The 25,956-nt window shown below is 57.0% G+C and overlaps 1 protein-coding gene across 18 annotated transcripts in view, besides 3 other annotated features; it reads left to right on the top strand.

Annotated features, from left to right (window-relative positions):
• WDR86 (WD repeat domain 86) overlaps window positions 1-25,956 on the top strand; it is a 41,758-nt gene that overhangs the window by 4,101 nt on the left and 11,701 nt on the right. For 3 of the 18 annotated variants that reach the window (XM_011516148.2, NM_001284260.2, XM_011516150.2), the window contains exons 2-6: window positions 6,371-6,512; window positions 10,416-10,836; window positions 21,325-21,524; window positions 24,631-24,734; window positions 24,866-25,488. In XM_011516148.2, the coding sequence (XP_011514450.1) occupies window positions 10,495-10,836; window positions 21,325-21,524; window positions 24,631-24,734; window positions 24,866-25,284 (1,065 nt within the window). In that variant the 5' untranslated portion in view covers window positions 6,371-6,512; window positions 10,416-10,494 and the 3' untranslated portion in view covers window positions 25,285-25,488. The other 15 variants (NM_001284262.2, NM_198285.3, XM_047420327.1 and 12 more) reach the window with 11 other exon arrangements.
• Window positions 18,597-19,259: an enhancer, noted in NCBI's record as "H3K4me1 hESC enhancer chr7:151084439-151085101 (GRCh37/hg19 assembly coordinates)". NCBI's record gives its function as "activates a minimal SCP1, AML or CMV promoter by ChIP-STARR-seq in naive H9 embryonic stem cells {active_cell/tissue: H9 hESC(naive)}" and the evidence as "EXISTENCE:reporter gene assay evidence [ECO:0000049][PMID:30033119]".
• Window positions 24,826-25,065: a silencer, noted in NCBI's record as "silent region_18814". NCBI's record gives its function as "represses an Ori minimal core promoter by ATAC-STARR-seq in GM12878 lymphoblastoid cells {active_cell/tissue: GM12878}" and the evidence as "EXISTENCE:reporter gene assay evidence [ECO:0000049][PMID:35858748]".
• Window positions 25,086-25,245: a silencer, noted in NCBI's record as "silent region_18813". NCBI's record gives its function as "represses an Ori minimal core promoter by ATAC-STARR-seq in GM12878 lymphoblastoid cells {active_cell/tissue: GM12878}" and the evidence as "EXISTENCE:reporter gene assay evidence [ECO:0000049][PMID:35858748]".

Here is a 25,956-nt window from a genome sequence, read left to right as displayed (position 1 = left end):
TTCTCTTACCACTGTGGGGGAAGTTGTGTCCAGACCACATGGCTGGTCTGTGGTGGCCCCATCCCTAGAAGCATCCTAACTCTAAATCTAGATCTCTTTCCACTTTGGTTCCGTCCTGGCCCTTGCACAGCTCTGGGCCCACAAGAGCCTGTGGTTGGCCGGTCCTGGATTTCTCGAGCAGAGTGGCTGGGGCTGGCGACTCCTACGTACGCTTTTCCTCTAGAGACCTCTGGCTCTGTTCATGGCAGCAGGGGCAATCAGGGACCGCAGGCTTTCCTGGGTGTCTCGCAGAGCTTAGGAAAGTTTGGGCCAAAGGGTGAGAGGGAGAGGAAGAGTGAAGGCCGTTCCCTGTGGCGTGCGGGGTTGGTGGGTGAGGTGCTGCTCCCGGAGGCCCCAGGGAGAGTGGGCTGCAGAACCGGCGTGTGGGGAGCCCCTCCCTGTGGGTGCATTCACTTGTTCATACACGGAATTGCCTTTCAAATGCGGTTGGTGAGCTCACAGTGAAAAAGGCTTCATTGCAATTACTCTGCAAAGAGAAGAATTACTTGCCACTTGCTTATCCCTGACCTCCTCTTTTTCAGGTTTATTCATTGAATATCTCCTTATTTGGGGGCACTTTATTGGTTCAATGAGATGAGTGACATTTTCCAAAATGGTAGTACCTATCCTATCCTGTTCCTGTTGAGTAGGGGACTCAGCCTGAAGGTGGCAGCCCACTGTGGCTGTCCCACACGCTTCCTCGTCTTCTAACATGAGGGGGCGGGGATTGTTGTTAATTTCCTGGGTACAACCCCACATTCCCATTTGCTGGGAGCCGGTGGCATAGGAGACTCCCTGTGAAGCCTGGCGGGAGAGCAGTGGCCCAGAAGACTGGGCTGAAGGAGGCCTGCGGCACGCTGGTGACAAGAGCCACAGCAGCCTCACACAGCTTGGGGGCAACTGACCGCTCCCACCGGAGAAGTCCAGAAAGCCAAGCTGCGTAGGTCTTGGTTCAAAGTGGGGGCTTGCAGATTTGCTACAAGTCTCTGGTGGCCACGTCAGTGTCCATTCCAGCCACGCTGTTGGTGCTTCTGGGCCCAGATGTCACCTGCCTCAGGGTCCCAGCACCCTCGAAACTGGGTTCTACCAGGAGAGTTTAATAAAGGGACACTGCAAAATGCAGGTGGAGCATAAGGGAACCACAGTGGCCGTGGCTCGGAACAGCAAGGCTGTCACCTCTTCTGGGCCTGAGTCGGGGACGCAGCCACTGCATCCTGGAAACAGCTGAGAGGGCTTCCTTCCAGGTTGGATGGCCACAGCCAGCCTGAGGGAGCCCTGCAGGGTCGGAGCTGGGGGAGGGGAACATATCCTGACCTAGAGTCTCCAGCTGCGGCTCCCACTTGTCGGAACCCACGGTGGGCTCCCTCTTTTCTAACCCAATGGGAGTCTTAGATAAGAGTGAGCCCACTGTGAAGTCCATGCAGATGGCGGTGGCAGGGTGGAAAAGAGGGGGATTGGGGAGCAGAGGAAGGCTCAGTCCTGGACAGCAGGCTCAGTGGGGCCTCCCCCACAGGTGAAAATAACCCTTGTGCTACAAGGGCTGGAGCAAACCAGGTCAGCAGTGCCATCCCTGCCCCGTGTGGCTTCCAGGGTGGCTGTCCAGTCCGTTGTCTAAAGCTGGGACACAGGGAAGGGAGACACGGCTTCCACGCAAGTCAGGGGCACCAGGCCCACTGCAGCCCACCGCCGGCAGAGACCCGCCACCAGCAGGTCCGAAGCTCTGAGCTGCTTTTCCTGCATTGGGGTGGTGGGGGAGGAAGCAGTTTGACTTGAAACTTCCAGCGAGTCCCCAGGGTGTGCAGGCGCTACCTTGGCAGAAAACCGTCAGCCTCAGCATGTTCTTTGAACATAATAACTGCATCTTATCTGCATTCTTCATCCCTTCAGAAATATTTATTTTTAGTTTGGCTTTTTTGCTTATTCTGCACAATCACTGCAGCCCCTGGAGGTGTGATGAGCCCACCCCCATGCCTTCCCTCTTCTGTCCTAGGGTCCTCGGGGTTGGGGTGGGGGCCTCAGCTCCAGGGGTGGCAGGCCTGGTTCCGCCTCCTCCCCGCTAGGGTGACCCCGCAGGCCTGGGTCAGTGGAGGCCTGTTTTGTGTTCTGTGGAACATAGGGGTTGGGGTTGGGGACATGCTCTGTTGGCCTGGCTCTGACCCGTGACTCACTTGGGCGTGTGTTCAGATGTGGGTGAGTGCTTAGAAACCCAGGGGAAGAGGCCTGTCCACAGCAGAACCCTGAACGCTGTGGGCCTCTGTGGGCTCAGTGCCAGGCTCTGCCACAGGGCAGAGGGCAGAGGGCATCAGGGCAGCCTGGCCCAGTTCAGAAATGGAGTTTTTTTTTTAAACCTTCCTTTCATCATTGCCTGTTTTCTTCAATATTTGTATGCATTTACATTTTTATCAGTTTGCCATCATCTGCGTATATGTCCTTTATTCCTTACACACATCATAAAGTGGTCCCTCATTTCAGGTCTTCAGCATCCCTGGCTTCAGGCTTCAGTTCCACCAGGTAGAGATGCCACAGCTCACTAGCCGCCATTGGCTTTTAAGTGCTTTTCTTGGCTTAACATATGACTCACTGCTGCGCTTCACCTTCCTGGGGCTGAGATGCGTCGGGAGCAGCTGGGCTTGGTATCGGCCCCACAGGATCCTTAGGCAGGTGCCTGGCACCTGAATGCCCACAGCACACCTTGATTACCTTTCCATCTTGGGTGTCTCCAGCCGCAATCTCTCTGCTGAGCCCTCCTGGCGGCAGCAGGGAGGGTGGGACGGATCTGTTCCCAGGGAAAGTTTATTGACAATCTTAACATATTTTATAAACCCTCTGGGGTTGGCAAAAATCTAGCCTGCGTTTTGACAAACACATTGCCCTCAATGTTTAAGCCGACATGTATTTTAAGGGAAACAGAATCTGCAGTTTCTTCAAATGTTGACTTAATCCGTACATTGTTTTCTTAGCGGCCTGGTATATGCCCTCCAGGGAGGCTGGAAAACTTTTTTGTTAAATTATGTTTCTTAGAACTCAGGAAGTTGCGTTTTTCCAAGAGTAACTGAACTTAAACTCAGGGGGTCGGGGGAAGGGGTGGATGTGAATTGGCTTGAAACTACCCAGGAAATTCTAAATCCCTGTCTACCCAATACCAGCTGTCTAAATGAAATTTTAAAATTCTATCAAAATTCTTAATGTAATAAGTATGTCCCCCAAATGTGTGGATGTTTGAATTTGTCCATTGTCTCATCTGTAAAATGGCTCTTAGTTCTAACAGTCTTTTGATTTGACTTCCTGGTCCCCGAGTTCCTCAAATCCAGTGGGCCTTCCTGCCCAACACGTTCTGCACCTGTGGGTTCGTCTAACCACAGATGAAAAACATCCAGGAAAAAAAATTCCACAAGGCTCCAAAAAGCAAAATTTGGCTTCCCTGCTCACCAAGTCCTACACTGAATCCACACAAGTGAAGCGATGTGTAGCCATCGCAGTGGGTGTCATAAGTAACCTAGAGATGAACTGAAGTATGCAGGAGGATTGCATAGGTTATGGGCAAATACTACACCACAGGGACCTGAGCGTTGTGGAGTTTGGTATCTGCAGGGGATCCTGGAACTAATCCCTGATGGGTATTGGGGGCAACTGTATATATTGGGGGACAACTGTATACACACCATCTTTACCTGAAGGGCAGGCCCTACTAAGATCAGAGACCCTGAGGGCCCCCAGGGCTGCTAAGCAATGCCTGAGGCATAAACATTGATCTGGCAGCCAGGGTGATAGTCAAGCTATCTAACTGCACCCATGAGATAGAGTCCCAACCAGCTGGTGGGGTAGCTCAGGTGCTGAGACCCCAGACACCCTGGCATGGCCCTCCACTCTTGGCCCTCCATTCTGGCCACATCCCGGCCTCATCAGTCATCTCTACCGATCACTCAGACTCTGGCCTGGAGGTGCCCCATGGAGCCAGTCCCTGCACGCCTGCTTTCCTAGCCGCTGTTCTCCCTACGGGCACCGAGTCACCCTCTTCCTGGTCTCCAGTGCTCAGGCTTCTCTCCCGAGCCCCAGCCAGCCGCTGCCAGTGGGGTGCCGAGCCCTGCTGACCACATGCTGCCCTTGACTGTCTTCCCTTCTGGGCCTGGAGCTCCCTTGGAGGGCAAGGCTGTGTTTCATTGTCTCTGTGTCTATGTTAGTGTCCTGGGGCTGCTGTGACAAAGGAGGATGCTTGGTGCCTGGAAACAAGTGAAGTTGATTCTTCACAGTGCTGGAACCCAGAGGGCTGAAATGAGCGTCCCTGGGATGAAAGCAGGGTGTCAGCAGGGCCACATCTAAACCCTGCAGGGAACGGTCGGTTCCTGGCCTCTTCCAGCCCTAGTGGCTGCTGGCATTCCTGCGCTCGTGGCCACATCCATCTCTGCCTTCACCTTCACGGCCTCCTCTTCCGAGTATATCACATCTCCCTGGCCTCTCTCTTGTAAGGACATTTGTGGAGATATATATATATATATATATATTTTTTTTTTTTTTTTTTTTTTTTGAGGCAGAGTTTTGCTCTGTCACCCAGGCTGGAGTGCAGTGGTGCAACCTCAGCTCACTGCAGCCTCCGCCTTCCGGGTTCAAGCAGTTCTCTGCCTCAGCCTCCCGAGTAGCTGGGATTACAGGCGCCCACCACCACGCCCGGCTAATTTTTTGTATTTTTAGTAGAGACGGGGTTTCACCATCTTAGCCAGGCTGATCTTGAACTCCTGACCTTGTGATCCACCCGCCTCGGCCTCCCAAAGTGCTGGAATTACAGGCGTGAGCCACCGCGCCTGGCCACTTGCGGTTGTATTTAGGACCCCCCGGATAATCTAGGATAATCTCCCCAGTCAAAGTCTTTACCTCGTCACATCCACAAAGACCCCTTTCCAAGTAAGGTCACATTGACAGGTTCCAGGGATTAGGACCTGCTGTCTTGGGGCCGTCATTCTGCCTACCACAGTATCTCTCCCCAGTGTAAGGAAAATAGCGAACATGTGCCATTCCCTCTGCGGCTGCCTCTGTCCTCAGTCTGCGCTACATCCCGTGAGGCAGGCATTGTCCCCATCCCAGGTGAGGAAATGTGGAATGCAAAAGCTGAAAGGTTTGAAAAAGACTAAAAGGAGATGATAAAGAAATGAGGAGGGAAGGAGAGGAGGGAGGAAGGCAAGAGTGGAAGCTGAGGAAACAGAGGGTTTAGGGTGCAGGCGAGTGCCCCTGGATTGCTCCTGCTGTTGATGGCTGCTGTGAAACCTCAGTTCTTGTCTTCTTAGTTTAACAGAATTGAAACAGGAGACACACAGCAAAGGAGATGCAGCATAGAGCAATGTATTGCACAGGAGGAAGAATACCCTGAAAGTTAGGTGCAGAATAGGCAGGACGCCCCAAGAGGGGAGTCAGGGTAGGCTGCCTGTGAGGATGAGAGAGCAAAGACCGGCTGGAGGGAGGATCCCTTTTTAGGAGTCTTACCTGATTATTCATGAGCAGGTGGGCAAGGGGGTTGCTGGGAAGCATGTTCTGGGTGCTCATGCACAGTGGCTGTGCATCCCTGTTCATACGTCACATGTCTCACTGGCATCTTAAATCTCCATCCAGGGGTGTGTTTTTTACTATTGTAATGAGCAAAGGGTCACTGTGAGGACCGGTAAAAATCAAAGTGCACGTGCTCTCTACAGGGGAAAGTCCCTACTGAAGATAGCTTTGCTTGAATGAGCTTGCCTGCAGTGCGAATGCTGGGGCTTATTGTGTTGACGGCGCAGTCGCCATGGTTGCTGCGTCCTGAGGACATGGTTACTTCCCTGACTATCTGTCGTGCCTCACTGGTACCCCGTGCTTTCTGAGAATCACTCAGACTGAAGTCATTCTTTAAGAAGGATGAGTTGAGGGCTGGGCGCAGTGGCTCACGCCTGTAATTCCAGCACTTTGGGAGGCCAAGGCAGGCAGATCACTTGAGGTCAGGAGTTCGAGACCAGCCTGACTAACATGGCGAAACCCCATCTCTACTAAAAATACAAAGAATTAGCCAGGTATAGTGGTATGCGCCTGTAATCTCAGCTACTCAGGAGGCTGAGGCAGGAGAATCACTTGAACCCGGGAGGCAGAGGTTGCAGTGAGCCCAGATCGCGCCACTGTACTCCAGCCTTGTGACAGAGTGAGACTCTGTCTCAAAAAAACAAAACAAAACAAAACTAATGCTAATTGACTCCAGCTTGTCTCAAACACTCCCTACATCCTGCTTTCTTCCCTTTTCAAACATTGTTCCCAGAAGAAAAGCAGGAGCTGGCATCCCCAGTACGCTCACATCTCCCCTGTCCCTCATCTGCAGGACATGAAAGCTATGTGACCTTCTGCCAGCTGGAGGATGAGGCTGCCTTCACATGCAGCGCCGACTGCACCATCAGGAGGTGGGACGTGCTGACCGGGCAGTGTCTGCAGGTGTACCGAGGACACACGTCCATCGTGAACAGGTCAGCCTGGCTGGGGGCTTGGGCTGAGTCTCACCATACATAGGCTTCTGGTGGGGCTGAGGGGTCAGAGATATGGGCCCCTGCACGTGAGGGCCCTTGGCTCTCTGGGGAAGCAAAAACGTGGACAGCTGGGAGGTGGTCAGTAGCACCCAGCGACGTGGACCCAGGACAGGCAGCGAGCTCAGTGCCTGCGGCTGCATGTGGGGCAGGGAGGCACTGCCCATCCACTGAACAGAGCCTGATGCTTCCCCCTTGGGGGCACAGTGGCTCCCCGCTGGGTGCAGGGAAAAGCACCAGAGCCTACAGCTCGTAGGGATGGGGACAAATTCCATAGGAAATGGCTTAATTGAGACCCGATGGTGGACCAAAGGTTTGCAGGAGGAGGAGTGTGGGGGATTGTTCCGAAGACGGAGTTGAGGATATTTTTAAGCCTCTCCTTTCTTTGTAGCTGTGGAAAATATCCCAGCCCCTCCTTCTCAAGAAGGTTGGAATTGTTCCTTTCTCAATGAATTTGGGTCTGAGCTGAGCAATGGAAATTCCTTTGCTGATCAGATCAGTTGGACACTGTTGGAGTCACTTGTGGTGGTCACCTCGGACTCCCGAGGGAGGCCTCCTGGCGCCCCTGGGCCTGGCAGCTGCACTGGAGGAGGGGCGCTGCCTGGAGGGTGACCCAAGTAAAGACAGGGCTGGCGCAGGCTGGCACGAGGGGGTCCTGAAGGTGGGGCTGGGGGCGCAGACCAGACAGGATGAACCCCACCAGAGGAATGCTGTTGGTTGAGCTCTGACAGGAACCCCCAGTCAGTGGACCAGCGCATGGGGGGACAGGAAAGGCAGTGAGACCCATCAGCCCAGCTCGCTGGAGTCGCAGGTGGCTGCAGCCAGGAATAATAATCGATAGTCGATGGACGGGGAGCTGGGTGACACCCTGAGGAGGAGGCTGAAGGGATGCGGGGACTTTTTAGAGTGAATGGGGGGTATATGCAGACACAAGGTAGGGTGGCCGTCTGGCCCCGGCCTTCCTCAGCTGAAGCAGGTGAGGCCCTGAGACCTGCCCAGGCAGCCCACAAGGTGGTAAAGAAGGGGCTAGAGTGAGAACTCAGGGCTCACAGCTCCACTGGCCTCTTCCCAGCACTCTGACTTCCCTGAGAAAGAAGTTTGCCATGAAAGAAGAGAGTAGGGCTGGGGGAGCGCCCTCCTGTGAGTCAGGCAGAGGCTGCAATGGGCTCAGCGGGGAGAAGGCCTGCCTGCAGTGACCAGTGGGCCCTCAGCTGCCAAACCCACAACTGTCAGATGCTTCTCAAAAGCAAAACTGGAACATTAAAGGTAGAAATCATGCTCGGCCAGATTTACTCTCACATGTGCACACACAACTTACACATACACATGTGCGCACACACACAACATACATATACACCATACACACAACTTACACATATACACGTGCATACACAACATACATACACACTCATACACAAACTTACACATACACACGTGCGCACACATACATATACACATACACCATACAAACAACTTACACATATACACGTGCATACACAACATACATACACACTCATACACAAACTTACACATACACACGTGCGCACACATATACACATACACACCTTACACATACACATGTGCACACACATACACTCATACACAACTTACACATGTGCACACACGCACAACATACATATACACCCATACACACAACTTACACATACACATGTGCACACATACACAACATACATATGCACTCATACACAACTTACACATGCACATGCAACTTACACACATACACACAACATACATATGCACCCATACACACAACTTACACACACATATGCACACACAACACACACATGCACACACATAGACACACAACTTACACAAGCAACAAAACATACACATATACACACAAAGTACATGCAGGCACACATTGTGCACACAACACACATGCACATATACACATATGCACACATGTTCACATGTGCTCACAACATATACAAACACACACACTATTTTGGATCGGTCACAGCTCCAAACCCATAGCTCTGTGTAGATATTTGCATGATTAAGTAACTGTCCTCATAAATCAGGAACTCACTTCCTCCCGAGTTTTCAGAGCCAGGTCAGGCCTGTGAGCTTTGGGGTCACCGATCGTTCAGTGGCCTGGCATCCCTGCCTTCTCACACCAGGCAGGACTCAGCCACCCCCTCCATACCCCAAGGCCTCCCGCTACACCCTTCCTCCCGCTATGCCCTTCCTCCCGCTACACCCTCTTCCTCCCGCTATGCCCTTCCTCCCGCTATGCCCTTCCTCCTGCTACGCCCTCTTCCTCCCGCTACACCCTCTTCCTCCCGCTACACCCTCTTCCTCCCGCTATGCCCTTCCTCCCACTACACCCTCTTCCTCCCGCTATGCTCTTCCTCCCGCTATGCCCTTCCTCCCGCTATGCCCTTCCTCCCGCTACACCCTCTTCCTCCCGCACTTTGCAGCAGCAGCATCAAGGCATCATTTCCTTTAAAAATACACGTAATCCCAGCTACTCGGGAGGCTGAGGCAGGAGAATCGCTTGAACCTGGGAGGCAGAGGTTGCAGTGAGCCGAGATCGTGCCACTGCGCTCCAGCCTGGGCGACAGAGTGAGACTCCGTCTCAAAATAAATAAATAAATACATGTTTTGTGACAATCATCCTATCTGGGTCTCAGGGAAGAAGCCAGTTGGAAAGGGATAGTTGGCATTTGAGTGGAGTCATGTGTCGTTGAGCTGCTTGCGGGAAGTGAGGAATGCTGTTGGGATCCTGTGGAGGCGGGAGGCAGCAGGCTTGTCCCGAGTGGGTCTCCTGTCCATGCCAGGCTGGCCAGCAAGCCCTTCGCGGGAGGACGGGAGGAGCAGCAGGGCCGGCCGTGGTCCTGATTCAGGAGGGTCCCACCCCGGCAGGGATGCACCTTGTTACAGTGCAGCCACGGCCGCACCCCTTGGCGGTCTCCTCTCCTGAGGTGCAGGGCTTCTTACCAAGGGTGTGTGCTCAGACCTTCTGAGGTTCTGTGCAAAGCTCTGCACTAAAGACAAATGTGTGTTTTTCTGGGGAGTTCTTGGCTTCCATCAAAATGAAAATAAGAGTCGTGAATACAATGTGGGGGCCTTGGTCTCCCATGTTGGTCAGTTGCACTGAATGGATGGACTCTCTTGGCTACCCAACCCCCAGTTCCCAGCCATGTGGCTAGAACCCTGTTGAGGCTGTGACCTCAGTCTGCATGGGGATTGCTGTGAGAGCTGGCAGCAGAGGCCCCCACTGGCTGTAGCGTGACCCCTGGCTGTGCCTCCCACAAGCACCCCTGGGTGCACTATGGGAGTTCCCAGTGCTCTCCAGCTTCTCAGGGCCCTCATCTGAAGTGCCCTGCCCAGCCACTTGAGCCGGCCCTGTTCCCAGGGTGACCAGCGTGTCCCACTCTGCCCTGGACTTTCTCAGTCTTAGGCTGAAAACCCTAAATCCCCAGAAGCTTTTCAACTCCGGGCAAGCTGAGAGGGCCGTGCTCCCCTACCTTCCCCCCCACCCGCTTCCCGCTGCTCCCCTACCTCCTCCCCCATCCCCTTCCCGCTGCTCCTGCAGAGCTGCTGTGGGGATGCTGGAGGGATCCCAGCGGAGCATCTAAGCTTGGTCCCTGCTACAGGTACATGCCCAGGGGCAGGCAAGGAAGGGTGGGCATGAGGGGAGTCAGGGTAGCTTCCTGGAGGTGGGGGCGATTTGAGCTGGACCTTGGAAGACGAGTGTGGCAAGCTGGGCAGACACAGGGAGAGGTTATTTTAGCTGCAGTGCCGAGCATGGCATGTCGGGAGGCTGTGTGGATTCTGGAACCCGTGCCTTCTGATCCCTGACCCCTTCCCTCTTGCCCCCAGGATCCTGGTTGCCAACAACCAGCTCTTCAGCAGCTCCTATGACCGGACAGCTCGGGTCTGGAGTGTGGACAAGGGGCAGATGTCCCGGGAGTTCCGGGGCCACCGCAACTGCGTGCTGACCCTAGCCTACTCTGCCCCGTGGGACCTCCCCAGCACTCCCTGCGCGGAGGAGGCCGCGGCCGGGGGGCTTCTGGTGACCGGCAGCACAGATGGCACAGCCAAGGTGTGGCAGGTGGCCAGCGGCTGCTGCCACCAGACGCTGCGGGGCCACACGGGTGCAGTGCTGTGCCTAGTGCTAGACACGCCCGGCCACACGGCCTTCACAGGCAGCACCGACGCCACCATCCGTGCCTGGGACATCCTGAGTGGGGAGCAGCTGCGGGTGTTCCGGGAGCACCGGGGCTCCGTCATCTGTCTGGAGGTGAGACTGTCCTGGTCCCCGCCCAGCAGCCAGGGGAGCCCAGGTCACCCCCTGCACTGCCGCCCTGCCCTGGGTATCTGTGATTCGGCTGCATAACAAAGCGCTGCAGATGGGGGCCTGGCAAGCGCCACGGAGGCCTTGCGGTCCTGGGGCTGGGAATCCAAGATAAGGGGTCCGCAGTACTGGTTTCCGTGAGGCCTCTCCTTAACCTGCAGATGCTGCCTTCTCCCTGTCCTCGTGTGTGTGTGTGTGTGTGTGTGTGTGTGTGTGTGTGTGTGTGTCCTAATCTCTTCTTAGAAGGACACCAGTCATACTGGATTAGGGCCCCCCTATGAACTCATTTTAACTCAACTGCCTCTTTTAAAGACCCTCTTTCAAAAAGGCCACATTCATAGGTACAGGGGTGGGGTAGGGCTGCGACACGTGAATCTGGGGTGGGCATGATGCAGCCCATAACACTCAGCTTCTGAATCTGCATGCTGGGCCAGAGCTGGGGCGGAGCCTGCCTGCAGGGCGCCTGGAGCGGGTGTTGACTGTTTTCCTGGTTTGTCTTTGTGCTGTCAGGGTGAACGCCGGCAGCCTCCTGGGCTCCGTCCTCATGGGTTGGGGACTGGGAAGTGGCCCATCATGCTATAAGCTGACAACCAGGATAGAGGAAGCACATAGCGCTGTAATGGTGTGGCCGTGTGGGACGTGGGGTTGCTGCCCCGTCTCCGTTGCCTCCCCTGGACAAGCCACCCAGCCTCTGTGGGCCTCAGTTTCCTCACATGTACAGGGAGGATTACGCCCCTTCTTAATTCCTAAATCCAAAAAGTTCCAAAAATTGAGAAGTTTTTTCTTAAGCTTGGCACGAAAACGCCTGGTGGCAGAGTCTGGCCTGAAGAGACATGTGACTGTGTGTGCTTCGAACATCCCGGTGCCTGGGGGTTCTCACGCCTTTCCTGCAGATGCAGGAGTGTGTCTGTAAGCCAGAAAATCCTCGAACGCATTGTCCCAAGGTTTTAGATTAGGGATTATGGTATGAAGTTGCCCCGTCCGTGGGCTTGTGGTAGGGATTTGGTGAATCAATGGAAGATGCGTGAACAGTGCTGCCAGGCAGCCCTTAGCCGCCGCGACCGTGACCATCCCTGCTGCTGTTGCTGTGAAGGACCTAACGGTGTGCCTGGCCGGAGGACCTGTTGGGTGTGATCCCCCATGCTGGGGTCTAGATGTTCCTGGCTCAGTCTCGGCCAGCCTCTGCCCTGCTCCAGGGCAGGTCCGACCCCTGCGGCAAGCGGTTGGGGTGCATTGCTACCAGCACCTGATGCTCAGCGAAGCCGCAGAAGATGGGAGGGGCAGGCTCCGGGTGACGGGGCTGGAGTCAGGGCAGCCCTGATCAGGCTTCGCTGTGCTCAACCCCATAGGAGAGCCAGGCCAGGGGCCCCATTTGGGGTTGTAGGGGTAGAGGCGGCCCCGGGGCTCCAAGACCAGGGGAGCAGGGAAGGGCTCACATTCGCGTGGAGGGAGGGTCACCCAGGTCCCTGAGATGCTGGATGGGGCATGTAAACCCCATGTCTCTAACTCAGGTCCCACCTGAGGACATTGGGATGGGTGGACAAAGAAGCAAATCAGCAAATGCAGCGAGATGAGGGGCTTGGGAGAGCAGCTCGTCGTGGGGAAGGGGCACAGCAGTCCGGGCCCATCTCACAGGGTCTGTCCGCACAGGTTTCCCTTGGCCTCAGCTCCACCTCTGGTGATAAGAATGTTTCTGTTTCTTGATCTCCTGCTTTCAGGAAAGAAGGGAAGGTCAGGGTGCACTGCTCGCACCTGTTTTTTGCGTGCCTTTTAACTCGACATCATCCTTATGCTGAAGGGGCGTGTTTTGGGGAGGCACACTCTGCCACTCTTCACGCTCCCCGGCCCTCCCTCCGTGTCCTTACTTGTCAGATGCTGGTGGTGATAACAGCTCTTCTAGTCTCCCAGGGTTCCCGTGAGAGTCAGCACTAGTGGCCCGAGACTCGTAAAGAGCTGGGGGCATCCGAGGCCTCTTTCCTGCCAGGCAGTTCCGTGGTGGGCAGTATGGAGTGAGGCTGAGACCCCCCCTACCTGGCTCATGTCTGTGCTCTGAGCTTGCCAGGGCAGGGGGTTGGGAGGGGAAGGGGCCAGGAGTTCGCTGGGAGGCCTGTCCCAGATGGAGCTGGTGACTCGCCCTCATGTCACCAGTGAAAGAGGAACCAGCGCAGGCATAGAAAGGCCACTGGCCAGGTGGAGGCTGGTGCTGGACGGAGGGGGGAGAAAAGCAGCACTGCCCTCCCAGGTGACAGCTGTCCTCACTCCAGGGGTGGCAGGATTCCCCGGGTTCGCTCCCTGGGGTATTCTGTAGGGTCTCAGTGCTGTTCTTCCTGGAGAGTGGGAGCGTAGGGTGTCCTGGCAGAGAGTCAGGAAGGCTAAAGGAGAGAGTGCGGAGAGACAGCTCCCACCCCACACACCTGTGTGCACACACAGGCATAGGCGCACACACTCCACATGCACATGCATGATACGCGCGTGTGAACGCACACCCCACAGGCACACATGCACACACGTGTGAACACACGTGTGAACACAGACAAGCCACGCACGTACATGCATGCCCACAAACATACCACGCAGACACACATGTTGATGGGTATGAAGAGAGAGCACCCGGGGGCCAGAGGCTCTGGCTATGGACTGTGCCTTTGTTTTCTTTCCCTTTGAAACTTAGCCAGTCCCACAAAGCAATTTGAATGGGAAGAGGACTGGGGACAGAAGGTGCCCATGGGAACAGCCAGGGACAGCCTGGCCCAGGTGGCCAGTGGGGCTCAGTCCTAGCAGGGGGGTGGGGTGCAGGGAGCCAAGACTGAAGAATGGGGGGCTCTGGAGACGGGCAGGGCTGCCATGAGGGCTGAGACCCCCTAGGAATGCACTGGTCAGAAGGTTCTGGGAGGTGGAGGTGAGCCTCTCAGGACCACTAGGTCTCGTAAAGACAGAAGGAAGGCAAGAGGGAGGGCAAGGAAGGAGCTAGCAGGCACCTAGGTAGTGGCCCCGCAGTGTGCAGGGTGCACAGCCTGTGACAGGCCTGGGAGGTCCCTGGGCGGCCGGTGGCCCCGGAGCCTCAGCTTCTGGTAGTGGCAGGGGTGGAGTTTGCCTCCTCTATTAGACTCGGCCTCCCGACCTGGGAGCCAGGCTCGTGGGATGAGGGAGTGAATGGGCGGCGCTCCGCAGGGGCTCCGAAGCTGCAGGAGGCATGGGCAAGGCCCACCCCCCGGGTAGGGGGCTTCAGGGGTTACATGCTCTCCACATGGGGATGCTCTCACAGTGGGGGACTCTGGGGCAGGGTCCATTTTACCCCTGTAAACACAAACCCTAAGTTCCAGCATAAGTCCCCTTCAGGGAGGGAGGTTCCTGTTCCCTAATGAGGAGTCAGTGGTGGGTGGATGGGGGTCCAAGTGTCTGAGAGGCTGGGGGTGCAGGGGGCACATGGGGAGAGGGCCTCGCTGGCCAGCTGGATGGGGGCATGTGGGCAAGAGAGAAGGGACATGACCCAGGCCTGGGCGCAGGGGAGCATCAGGCTGCAGCATAGGCTGGGGGCCCCGATCAGAGCTGGGGTCCGGGAGGTCCACTCTTGGGGAGCACATGGCTGGCTCGGGCCTGGCTGTTGCGTCTCAGCTGGGCAGCACCTTGCCCTGCCCTGAGCGTCTGAAGGGGCTGGCAGAAGGAAGGCAGCACACACTTTTGCAGAAAGAGCAGCTGGCACTGAAGGCAGCCAAACGTCTGATGGTTTGGGGCTCTGCTCAGGTAGTCACTAAGGTAACTACTAAGTGACACCCTGCTTCACTAGGAAGGCCTGGTGGCTGAGGTAGAAAAAAGGCCCCCATCGCCCAGGACGGGTGGGATGAGGTGTCAGCCTCACGGTGCGTGGGAGGGGCGGGGCTGGGGAGGAGGCGCACCCCTGTACTTGGACTCCTAGATTCTCGGTAGACGGGAGTTTCTTTTACTTTGTTCCCGCCATCTCCCTAATCGTCCAGCACCTTCTAATCCCTTGGGAAGTCTGTTGGGTGACATTTTGGTGCATCTGAGTGTGTTGTAACATTGCCCATGTTTAAGATTCCCTCTTTCTTCCCTTCACAGGGTGGGGAAGGCACCTTTTCCCACCCATCCAGATCTGCCTCTTGAAAAGGACTGTCGGGCCCCAGACCCGGTGCGCAGAGAAACAGAATCCAGCCGGACCCTCAGTCTCGCCCGGGCTCCCAGCTCACCCAGCTGCGTGTGGGGGGCCATGCGACCCACAGAAGGGACCATCTTGCCTTTCTCTTCCCTTGTATATGATTTCTTTCACCCGACACCACTCAGGAAATTGGAGTTTTGCAGGGGTTAGAAGGCTGCTGCCTTACAAGCCAGGTTTGATTAGGGCTATGGGACATTTCTCACACTGTCCTAAACGCAGAGGGGGCTTCCTGACAGAGATTCAGGGGCAGGGAGCCAGGGCAGGAGCCTCATGAGCAGATCCGGGAAGCAGGACTTCTGGGTATGGCGTCCCCTAGCCCTCGCTGGGCCCCGCCCCCGCAGGTGGCTATGTCAGTTCTCCCTCCTGCCTTCTGTGGCTTCTCTGACCGAGGGCCATCGCCGCCACAGCCTTCATCAGATGGGCTGGAAGTGCCGCTCACGATCTGCCTTTCTAGAAGGGCCTGATTGGCCCTCTCGGGTCCAGGAAGCACAGGAGGGGGACCCACAGGATCAGCTGAGGCCTCCCTTTAAACCATTTTCAGCATTTACTCAGGGCGTGAAGCACGTTCAGTGTTGTGCAAGCATCATACCATGATTTCCAGACTTTTCCATCAGCCCAAATCAGAACTCTGTCCCCATTAAACACTGACTCCCCGCTGCTCTTCCATGCCCCGGGCACCCGCCCTTCTGCTTTGTGTCTCTGAATTTGATGACTCTGGGTCCTCACATGAGTGGAGTCGTGCAGGATCTGTCCTTTCCTGTCTGGCTTATTTCATGAGCATAAGATCTTCAGGGTTCGTCTGTGTTGTGGTGTGTGATGAGATTCCCTCCTTTTTCCGTGACTGATAAATATTCCCTGGTATGTGGATACCACATTGCGCTTATCCGTCACCTGTTGATAGACACACGGGTTGCTTTCACCTTTCAGCTGTTGTGAACGGGTGGACGGGATCTGGGTGCATCCTGCCTTCAGTTCTCGGGTATATGCCTGCCAGTGGGACTGCGGATGACTTGGTAATTCTCTGTTCAGCTTTTTGAGGAACTGCCAAAGTGAAATGATTCTTAAGGCGAGTGTAGAGGGAAAGGGATGGGAGGTGGGCGCCGTACCATCCCCTCTGCCCACAGCGTCAGGACGCTGTGCAACTTCCGGAGGCTTCCTGACTGTGGGGGTTGGGGGGACTCCTTTTTCACAATCTGCCAAGTGGGGACACACGATGGCTGCCCCTGGCGTGGCCAGATGGGGTCCTGATGTGGGGGGTGTGCAGTGAGCTCTGGGCTTGGTCTGTTTTCACGGGGAGAGCTCTGTCGTTGAGGGCTGAACCAGGGACTTTTCATCTCCTCCCCTCCAGCTCCTCCCCTGCTCCGCAGCCCTGGCCCTGCGAGTGCTCCGTCTCCCCGAGCTCTGACTGTCCCTTGGTTCGTGGCACCAGGGCTGGCCATTACACCCCACGCTCTCTTGCATTTGGATCCTTTTGGGGCCCCTGCCTCATGGCCTGCCTGGGGCCCTCACTCTGCCTCAGTGCTCTGCTGGGCTGGAGATTGTGCATTCAGCCCCTGGCTCACCGGCACCCCCATCCACAAACTGCTCTCAGGAACATGGCACCCACACACAGGACTGTGTGGCTTCTCCACCCCAACCCAGAAACCCTGTGAGGCAGGCGGCACCATTGCTATCTAAGATTGAAGCAGAGACCTGCTTGTTGCTTTTCTCTGCTCTCGGCATGCAGTCGGGGTCACTGACCCGTGGTCTATGACACCTCATCTCCTTCCCCTTCCTCGAAATGAGAGAGGGCCTCATGCTCACTTCCAGGCGTCCTTCTCCTATGCGTACAGGCCTGGTGGGTGCACCTGAGACCAGGAAGCAAGCTCTTCAAAAGGACTTCACACAGCCCCTGCCCTGTGCAGGGCGGAGCGGGCAGACTCCTTCCCAGGTGCCCTTAAGAGTCCTGGGCCCCCACAGTGGCTTTGCGAGCCCCATTGTGTCGCCTCTGAAATCGTTTTGCCGAAGAAGCGTGTGTGCTTGCAAGTCAAGAGCCAAGGGAGAGAGTGGCTGAGGTTTCCTGGTGGGCCAAGTGTGGGGCGTCTGCTGGGACCCTGAGTGAGCCGCCCGGCGATGGTGCGTTTGAGCTGTGGTGTCTGCACCACTCACATCACACAGGTCAGGCTTCTTTGATTTATGGAGATAAGCCCGTGGGCAGCCTTTCCAGAGGCTGGGGAGGAAAAGAGGAGACCGTGCAGTTTCGCAGAGTCCTGGTCCATTGCTGCTCCTGTAACAAAATACCTTAGACTGGAGGGCCGGGCACGGTGGCTCACGCCTGTTATCCCAGCACTTTGGGAGGCTGAGGTGGACGGATCACTTGAGGCCAGGGTTCCCAGACCAGCCTAGGCAACATGGAGAAACCTCATCTCAAACAAAAAAAAAAAAAAAAAGGAAAGAAAAGAAAAAAAGGTGCAGAATACCTTTGACTGGGTAATTTATAAATAATAGAAATGTATTTCTCACTGTTCCAGAGGCTGGGAAATCCAAGGTCTAGGCGCCAGCACGTTCTGTGTCTGGTGGCTGCTGCTCTTGCCACGTCCTTCGTCTTGGATGAAGGGACAAACAGGCTCCCTTAAGCCCTTTTATAAAAGGGAACTCATCTCATTTATGAGGCGGGCCCTCATAACCACTTTACTTCCTAATGCTATCACAGTGGGGGTTAAGTTCCAGCATGAATTTGGGGGGTTCCGACACTCAGACCATAGCTTCATATACCCCGCCTCCGACCGTCAGCCTGGGGACCAGGTGGCCACAAAGCATCCTCCCTGCTTCCCTGAAGCCTGCAGCCTGCTCCAAGTTGGCCAAAAGCAGAGGTGAGGTCCTGAGAAACCACCGTGCCCAGAGGGGCCTCTGCCTCCCTCGCCTTTTACAGGACTGCATGCAGGGCTGAGCCACCGATCTCAGGGGTCCCAGAAGCCAGGTGGGGACAGAGCCAGGAGCACACAGGCCTCCTTTGGAGAGGGTCGGGCCAGAGATGGTGTGAGGACCTGCTTCTAAGCGACAAACCCAAGGTCAAAAAGCCAGGGGGCACCCTGTCTGTGGTGGCCCTGCGCTGCAGGGCAGCCCTCTCCCCTGCTCTTTGAGGGGTCGCCCAGGTTCTGGGCTTGACCTGGGGTCCTTGTGAAGGAGGAGAGATAGAGTCTCTGCCCTGTCCCTTCATGGTTTTACAGAGATGTTTTAAACATTTTAGTTATAAAACATTTCAAATGTAAATTGTAAAAAATAACTAAAACAGACACCTATGCACCCAGTTTTGAAATCAGATAGCAACATTGTGATTTTAAAGAAACGAAGCATTTCAAATCCAGCCAGAGAAAAGAAAGACCTACAGGATCTGGGAGCCCGAGGTGGTGGGGACCACAGCAAGGATGTCGTGGGGCAGTCTCTGGCTGCAAAAGCCCTGTCGTACCAGTTCATGAGTCTCACCCAACCCTGAGGAGCCGGCGGGCAGAGATTGCACCTGCGTTTTGGGGATGGGCGGGGGTTACCATGTTCAGGCCCTGGGCTGCGTGTGGCGCACAGCAGTGCATCAGCCCTTGTGGCCTCGTTCTTAGCAGGAGGTCCTTGTTTCTCACGTTGCACATGAGACAGTGGAAGCTTGGAGAAGATGAGTAACTTGGCCACGTCTCACATCTGCTGAGGGGTGGAGGCAGGATTTGAACCCAAGACTGTGCATCTGTAAGCCCCGTGCCTGTGACCACCACAGCTGTCACCAGGCAGGTGGTGCGTCCCCCGACACTCTTGCTTGGGAGGAGTATCTTGGAGGGTCTGCTGCTCTGGAGCCTGCCAGGCCCTCTGCAGCCTTCTCCCACCCCTGCGGGGCTCCCTTGGAGCCCGGGGAGGTGGAGGCCCGCATCTGTGCCCTCAGCGGCGGAGCCCCGGGCCGGTGCCTCTCCTGCTTCTGCTTGGTTGGATCTCATCGCTGGGAGACTCCTCAGAGCCGCCGTGGCTGCGAGGAGCCCTCAGGATCATCCTGCCTTCCCCCTTGGCTCAGGCCTCCCTGGGCCACCCCGCTCTCCCTGTCCTGTCAGGAAACCAGCTAGAGGGAACAGCAAGGCCTCCACAGGCTGAGGACCCTGGGGCTGGGAGCGCCCCCTCGGCCTGTGTGGCTCTGGCTCATGTTCGGCAGGGTGCTACTGGGAGGGCTAAGCACAGTGCTCACAGGCCCTGTGTGGTGAGGGCCGGCTGCCAGGGAACAGGAGGGGCTTCCCTTTGTCCTCTCCTGCCCTGGTCACCCAGCAAGCCTCCTGCCCTGGTCACCCAGGAAGCCTCCTTGGTGCAGGGGCTGAGCAGCACAGAGGTGTGGGGCTGCAAAGCTGGCCAGTCCTTGGAGGTCTCAGTCTCAAACATTCCACCCTTGCCCACTCCTCTTATTAGAGCCTGAGAGGCTCTGTGACTGTCTGGGACGCAAGCACAGGGAGCCTGGCTGGCTCTGGAGCTGACCATGTGTTGGGGAGATGGCCAGGAAACGCTGCGCTGGTGGTGGTCAGCCCAGCCTCCGGGACACAGACACAGTGCCCTGGGGGCGGTGCGAAGAAGGATCCTGGGCTTCCACTTGCCGATGAAGGAAAAGGGAGGATCACAGTACAAGGGCTTTCTGGGCAGGGAGGACTTGTAGGAAACCTGGGAGGAAGGCACGTGCCCAGAGGTCCTGGGGCAGCAGTGTGGACACAGGTGTGTGGAGTGGAAACCAGGATATAGGGCCAGGGAAGCTGGGCCCTGCAGGGCCTCCGAGCCTGAGGCAGGAGGGGTGGTCTTTCTCAGGAAGCAGAGGGGCTGTTGAAGACTGTAAGCAGCTGACTGTGTGCCCGGCAGGCTCAGGAAGGTCCATTTGTCCTTCCTGCTGGTGCCCGCATTACTGGCAGGAACTGTGCTCCTGGGTGGTGCAGATGGCTGAGGTCTGAGTGCAGGAATGTTCTGGAACCCTGCCAAAGCTGACACGGGCAGGTAGGCAGTATCCCTGTCCTTGGGGAGGGGACCATCCAGTTAGGGAGGCTGCCTGGGCTGGGGCCCACCGTAACCCCAGCAGGACTTCAGGGCAGGGCCTGAGAGAGGGCAGGTGACTGTCCACAGGAAGCACCTGCAGCCTCTGCCTCCCAGAGGCCACATTGTGCTCCTCGTGGTTCCACTGCCTTCTCTGGGCACAGTGATTGGCCCAAGGCCAGTTAACTCCTTTGACCTGGGCTGTGGCCCGGGTCGTGGAAGCTCTGTCCTCTGGGATTTGAACAGGGAGATAATATGGGGAACCGGCAGTGGAAAGTGGCCCAGAGCGTGGTCGTGAGGGGAAGGTTAGGAGGGACGTGTTCGGGATGCCAGTGGCCAGCGTGAACTGACTGCCTGCCGGTGGGCCCACTGCCTGCCGACCACAGGAGAAATGCCCTGTGTGCCTGACCCGCTTCTGACTCCTGGTTCCTGGGCCCTAGCAGTAGTGGCAGGAGGCCTCTCTGGGGCATGAAGCCTGCGCCTGTCTCCTGTGCCATCGCGCCAGGTCACTGCAGCTGTGGAGCCCGCCTGCCCGCCCTGGCCTTCTCGTCCGTGACTGCTGACCAGAGGTGCTGGCTGGGAGTGCTCTTGGCTGGGTGGTGTTTAGTCTAGGGGAATTTACAGAATTATTTTAATAGTCTCCGCACTTCCCTGGGGCCGCTACTCCCGTCCATCTTGGCGAGGGCCTCTTCCCTTGTCTCCTGGGCCCTCTCCGTACCTCCTGCGAGACAGCAGCATCACATGGCTGGGTGAGACTGTCTCCCGGGCCCTCTTCTCACTGTGAGCCCCATGAGCAGGGGGAGCAGTGACCCCGTGACAGTCCCCGGCTGTCAGCTCCAGTCTTGGCAGAAGTCTGCCTCACACCCTCGCTCAGGGCTTTCTCTGTCCTGTCTGAAGCAAAAGCCCCATGTGAAAGCCCTTCTCTGGAAGCCCTCTCCTCAGCCAGCAGGAGCGAGCAGTTAAGTGCCTGTACCCCACACACACCCTCGAGGAAGGGGCTGTCCACATCCTAATCCTCAGGGGAAGCAGCTGAGGGGCAGAGAGCCAGGGACTGGCCCAGGGCAGTGTGGGGCTGGGCGGCCAGCCCTGTTGGAGCACTGGCTGCCCCATGGGGCAGGAGCAGCCGCCTGCTTTTGGGTGCTGAAGTGGGCAGTCTGGTGGGGCCGGTGGCGGGGCCATTCGAGGCTCACCCATGGTTTCACCACTGAGACCTGCACATGCCCCTTCCCCCCTTATAGAGGGAGAGGTCTGGGGGGCTTCAGAGCTGCCCCAGCTGCCGACCTTCCCTGCTCCTCCTCGCAGCTGGTGAACCGACTCGTGTACTCTGGCAGCGCGGACAGGACCGTCAAGTGCTGGCTGGCAGACACAGGGGAGTGTGTGCGCACGTTCACGGCCCACAGACGCAACGTGAGCGCCCTCAAGTACCACGCGGGCACCTGTAAGTGACTTGGCCCTGCACGACCTGTGCCACCCCAGCCTGGCTTCTCCTCTCTGCTTCTTTACTTCCTATGGGATTTTCCCTCATTGAGCCTTGGCTGCCAATCATCAGCGTCCAATGGCAGTGCTCGTTCCTTCTCCACACACCCGTGCTTCCAGCTGTTTTGCAAAGAAGGTGCAAATAAGGGTTTGGTGGCTCCTCCCAACCTTTCTCCAGGACAGCCTGGGAGACTGGACTGCTGGGAGGGTCTAGGGTCAAAAGCATGTCCCAAAGGGTGTATCCTAATTCTCCAAGTGAGACAGTGACTGCCCCTTAATCCTGCCAGCCTCGAGGGCCACATGGCTTTGGCCTCACTTGGCCTTAGGATTTGTCTGCAGAGAAGAGAAAATCCAGGTAGCTGTGGTTCCAATGAGGTGGTGGTTTATTTTCTCTCAGGTAGAAGAATTTCAGAGGCTGGTGGTCTCGGCTGGAATGGGTGGCTCCACAAAGTCATCAGGCACCCAGCTTTCTTCTGTCACTCTTCTTCGTCATCCTTAGCACAGACCTTCTATCTTTAAAGAAGCCTCATGATTCAAGATAGCTGCTACAGTGCCAGCCATCGTGTCATGTTTTAGGCAGGCAGAGAGAGAGGATGAAGGGCGAAAGGACGCGTCTTCTAGCTGAGTTGGTCCTTTAAGATCTTTCCTGGAAGCTTCATCCAAGGGCTTCTACATACCTCTCTGTGACCATTCTGTCTGCAAGAGATAGAGAATCATAAAGTCTTTTATCTGAGGAATTTGCTGCCCAGATGGAATCAGGGTTATTTTGGAAAGAAAGAAGGGCAGAATCGCTTGTTGGGCAGGCAACCTGCTGTCTGTCCTACAGGTCTCAACTTGTCACACTCTCGGGCCATTTGGCTCTGCCTCTGGGAGGGAGGAGACTGGGTTGGGGAAGAGTCACAGTGGAATATTCAAGTTGACCTCACAGCAAAGGTGTTGGATGAAGACAGAATGTAGATATCTGAAAATAGATCCTGACATGCCCTCAGGATTCAGGTGTCTGACACAGAAAAATTATTTTTCGTTTGTTCCTGTGTCCAAGGCTGGAAGTGTGGTTACGGCTCTGTTCCCAAGTCTGGGTCCTCTAATTGAACACGAGGAAGGTTCCACTCTCAAAGGCTCTGGCCGGCGGCCGCCTAGAACACCTCCCCGTGCAGCCGGGGCATGGAGCCCGCAGGGAAAGCGAAGCCTGCAGCTCACTGTTGCCCAGCTCGGTTCTTGGTCTTGGCCAGCAAGGCTATGGGATGATCAGACTTTGTTTTTGATCCTCTTCCCACCCGCGGGGAGCTCAGCAGCCACACTGGGTTTTCCAGGCCATGTCCATTTGTCTGAGTTTGTGGGGGGAAGGCAGAAAGGGGCTGAAAAGAGACCCAGAAATGAAACTTCCCCTCTGGGGCCATTCACTCTGTAGTTTTAACAAAAAGGCTGGAACAGGCTGGGCACCGTGGCTCATGCCTGTAATCCCAGCACTTTGGGAAGCCAAGGCGGGAGGATCTCTTGAGCTCAGTAGTTCAAGACCAGCCTGAGCAACATAGCAAGACCCTGTCTCTACAAACATTTTTTTTTTTTTTTTTTTGAGACGGAGTCTTGCTCTGTGGCCCAGGCTGGAGTGAAATGGCGCAGTCTAGGCTCACTGCCACCTCCACTTCCCAGATTCAAGTGATTCTCCTGCCTCAGCCTCCTAAGTAACTGGGACTACAGGTGTGTGCCACCACACCCAGCTAATTTTTGTATTTTTAGTAGAGACAGGGTTTCACCATGTTGGCCAGGCTGGTCTCAAACCCCTGATCTCATGATCTGCTCTGCCAGCTTCAGCTTCCCAAAGTGCTGAGATTACAGGCGTGAGCCACTGTGCCCAGCTCCCCCCCCCCACCCCGCCGCCCCGTTTTTTTTAAAATTAGCTGGGTGTAGTGGTGCATGCCTGTGGTCCCAGCTGCTCAGGAGGCTGAAGCGGGAGGATCGTTTGAGCCCAGGAGTTCAAGGTTAACAGTGAGCTAAGATGGTACCACTGCACTCCAGCCTCGGCAACAGAGTGAGACCCTGTCTCCCTGTAAGAAAAAAAAAAAAAAAGGCTGGGGAACAAGTACCCACAGAGCACCCTCAGATAGATAGGTAGCCCAGCACCCTTACCCTCAGGTGGTCCTACCCCTTTTCCCCAAGGTCCCTGGCAGGCTTGCACCATAGCTGCCCACCGTAGTTACCTGCTCATTGACAGACCCCACAGGACTTCCTCCCTCCCTTTCCATCTCCCATTTCCCTGTGAGCGTTTCCTGGGACGCCTGCCAGGTGAACTGTCTGCATCAAGTCCTAGCATCAGGGTCGGCTTCGGAGAGCCCAGCCTAGGCCAAGTGAGTTCTTCTAGTCCACATCCTCAGTGTGGCCTCCTGACTAGCAGCAGCATCACTTAAAACTGGTTAGAAATGCCGATTCTCAGGCCCCGCCTGCTAAATCAGATTCTGGGATGCGGCCCCGCGATCTGTGGCTAAGACCTCCAAGTGACGGATGCAAATGCAGGTTGCAGTTGGAAAACGATTGGACTGAAATCTTAGGAGAAACCCCAGGGAGAGGCAGCCACCTGGGGGAGGAGACAGACTGAGGTCGGAGGCTCGCCCCCGCTAGGGGTCCCGGGGGTGCGTGATCATGAACCCCAGAGGGCTGGGCTTTGATTTGAGTGCCGATCCGTTAATGAGGACGGGAGGATAAGGTTGCCGACGCAGCGGAAGGTAGGGGGGAAGCGACTCGAGGACCTGACGATTATCCCCAGGCAGGGGCTTCCCAAGCAGGCACGGAAACCAACTTCACCAAACCGCGGAGTGGGGACTGGGCCCGGGCGGTGTTCAGCAGGGCAGGGGCAGGGCCAGCTGGCGCGCAGGCATCTGCAGGGTGGAGCAGAATAACCGTGGGGACCCGTTTCTCTGGAGGGGCACTGTCCACTTCCCATATGAGCCTCAGGATACCCCCGTGGGGCGGAGTCTCGGAGACGCCCCAGGTCACGCTCTCGCCGCCCCATCCCTGCTTGCGGGGGGCCGAGCAGGGAGGGAGGCCCAGCGCGCGCTGTGTGTCCGCAGTGTTCACGGGCAGCGGGGACGCTTGCGCCCGGGCCTTCGACGCGCAGTCTGGAGAGCTGCGGAGGGTGTTCCGGGGCCACACATTCATCATCAACTGCATCCAGGTAGGTCCCTCTGCCCTTCTCGGGGCCGCCGCCCGTGGGAGGGAAGGTGCCCCGCCCCGATCCATCCACGCGGGCAGCGGTGTCCCCCCCGCCTACCGCGTCACCGGTGACGCCCGCCCCTGCGCCCGCAGGTGCACGGCCAGGTGCTCTACACCGCCTCGCACGACGGCGCCCTGCGCCTCTGGGACGTGCGCGGGCTCCGAGGTGCCCCGCGGCCCCCTCCGCCCATGCGCAGCCTCTCGCGGCTCTTCAGCAACAAGGTGGGCTGCGCCGCCGCGCCCCTGCAGCCGGCCTGATCCCGCGGGGCCCCTGCAGACGCCAGCCCAGACACCCAGCGGCTCCCAGAGCGCCCCGCCCTGCTACCCGCGGTGGTGGCGCCCGATGGCCGGCGAGGGGCGAGGAGCGAGGAAGCCCGGGCGGGAGGAGAGCCCGTCGCAGGCGTCTGGTTTTTCTTTGGTGGCCAGGAGGCGCTGGGAGCGGGAGTGCTCGCCCTGGGGACCGCCCCCTTTTCCCTTTTAGGGTGGCTCCTGTCCTCCCTCCCCATCCCTGACCTGGCGAAAGGCCTAGTCCTGGGGACCCTCCCACCTCAGGGGCTGCAGGCGGACTGCCCCAGCTCCCCCAGCCCCACGAAACTGGGCCTTTCCTGCTGAGAGGAAGTGACTTTTTACAGAAGCCACTGAACCTGGTTATTTTGGCAAATCGTCCGTCTCGAGGGCCTTGGGGGGAACTGAAATATACAGCCTGAACGTTAAAAGTGCTCCTGTGTCCTCTTTTTGTTTTGCAAACTGAGTCTCAGCTTCTTTTTGGAGCTTGGGATTCCAGGAACCCAGGGCGGCGGGCCTCCTGCCCTCTGCCTCTCACAACCGGCCTGGGCAGCCTTGGGGGTGACTTGTGGGTGCGCTGCGGGGCTGCCCCCAGTGTCACTGGTGCAGGAAGTGGATGGGGAAGAGGCCGGGGAGCAAGGGAGGAGCTCTTTAGCCTGTGCAGGTGACAGCGGGGACCCTGCTTGGGAGCAGGGTCATTTTCTGGCATGTCATTTTCTGGCATGAATCTAGGAAGTCCGTTCAGGGCCTGGAGTGGAAGGAGGGGTGGGGGCGGGCAGCAGCCCCACCCCGGGCTCGTGCACAGGAGCCAGGGCAGCGCCTGGTGCTGGAAGGCGCAACACACATGCCAGAGCCACCGGGCACCCAAGGGGAGCCCTGTGCCCAGGGGCTCGAGGGGC

This window comes from Homo sapiens, chromosome 7 (assembly GCF_000001405.40).
Source record: "Homo sapiens chromosome 7, GRCh38.p14 Primary Assembly".
In the NCBI taxonomy this organism is placed as follows: Eukaryota; Metazoa; Chordata; class Mammalia; order Primates; family Hominidae; genus Homo; species Homo sapiens.
The sequence above is the reverse complement of the archived record's forward strand: the minus strand, read 5'-3'. Positions and strand labels throughout refer to the sequence as shown.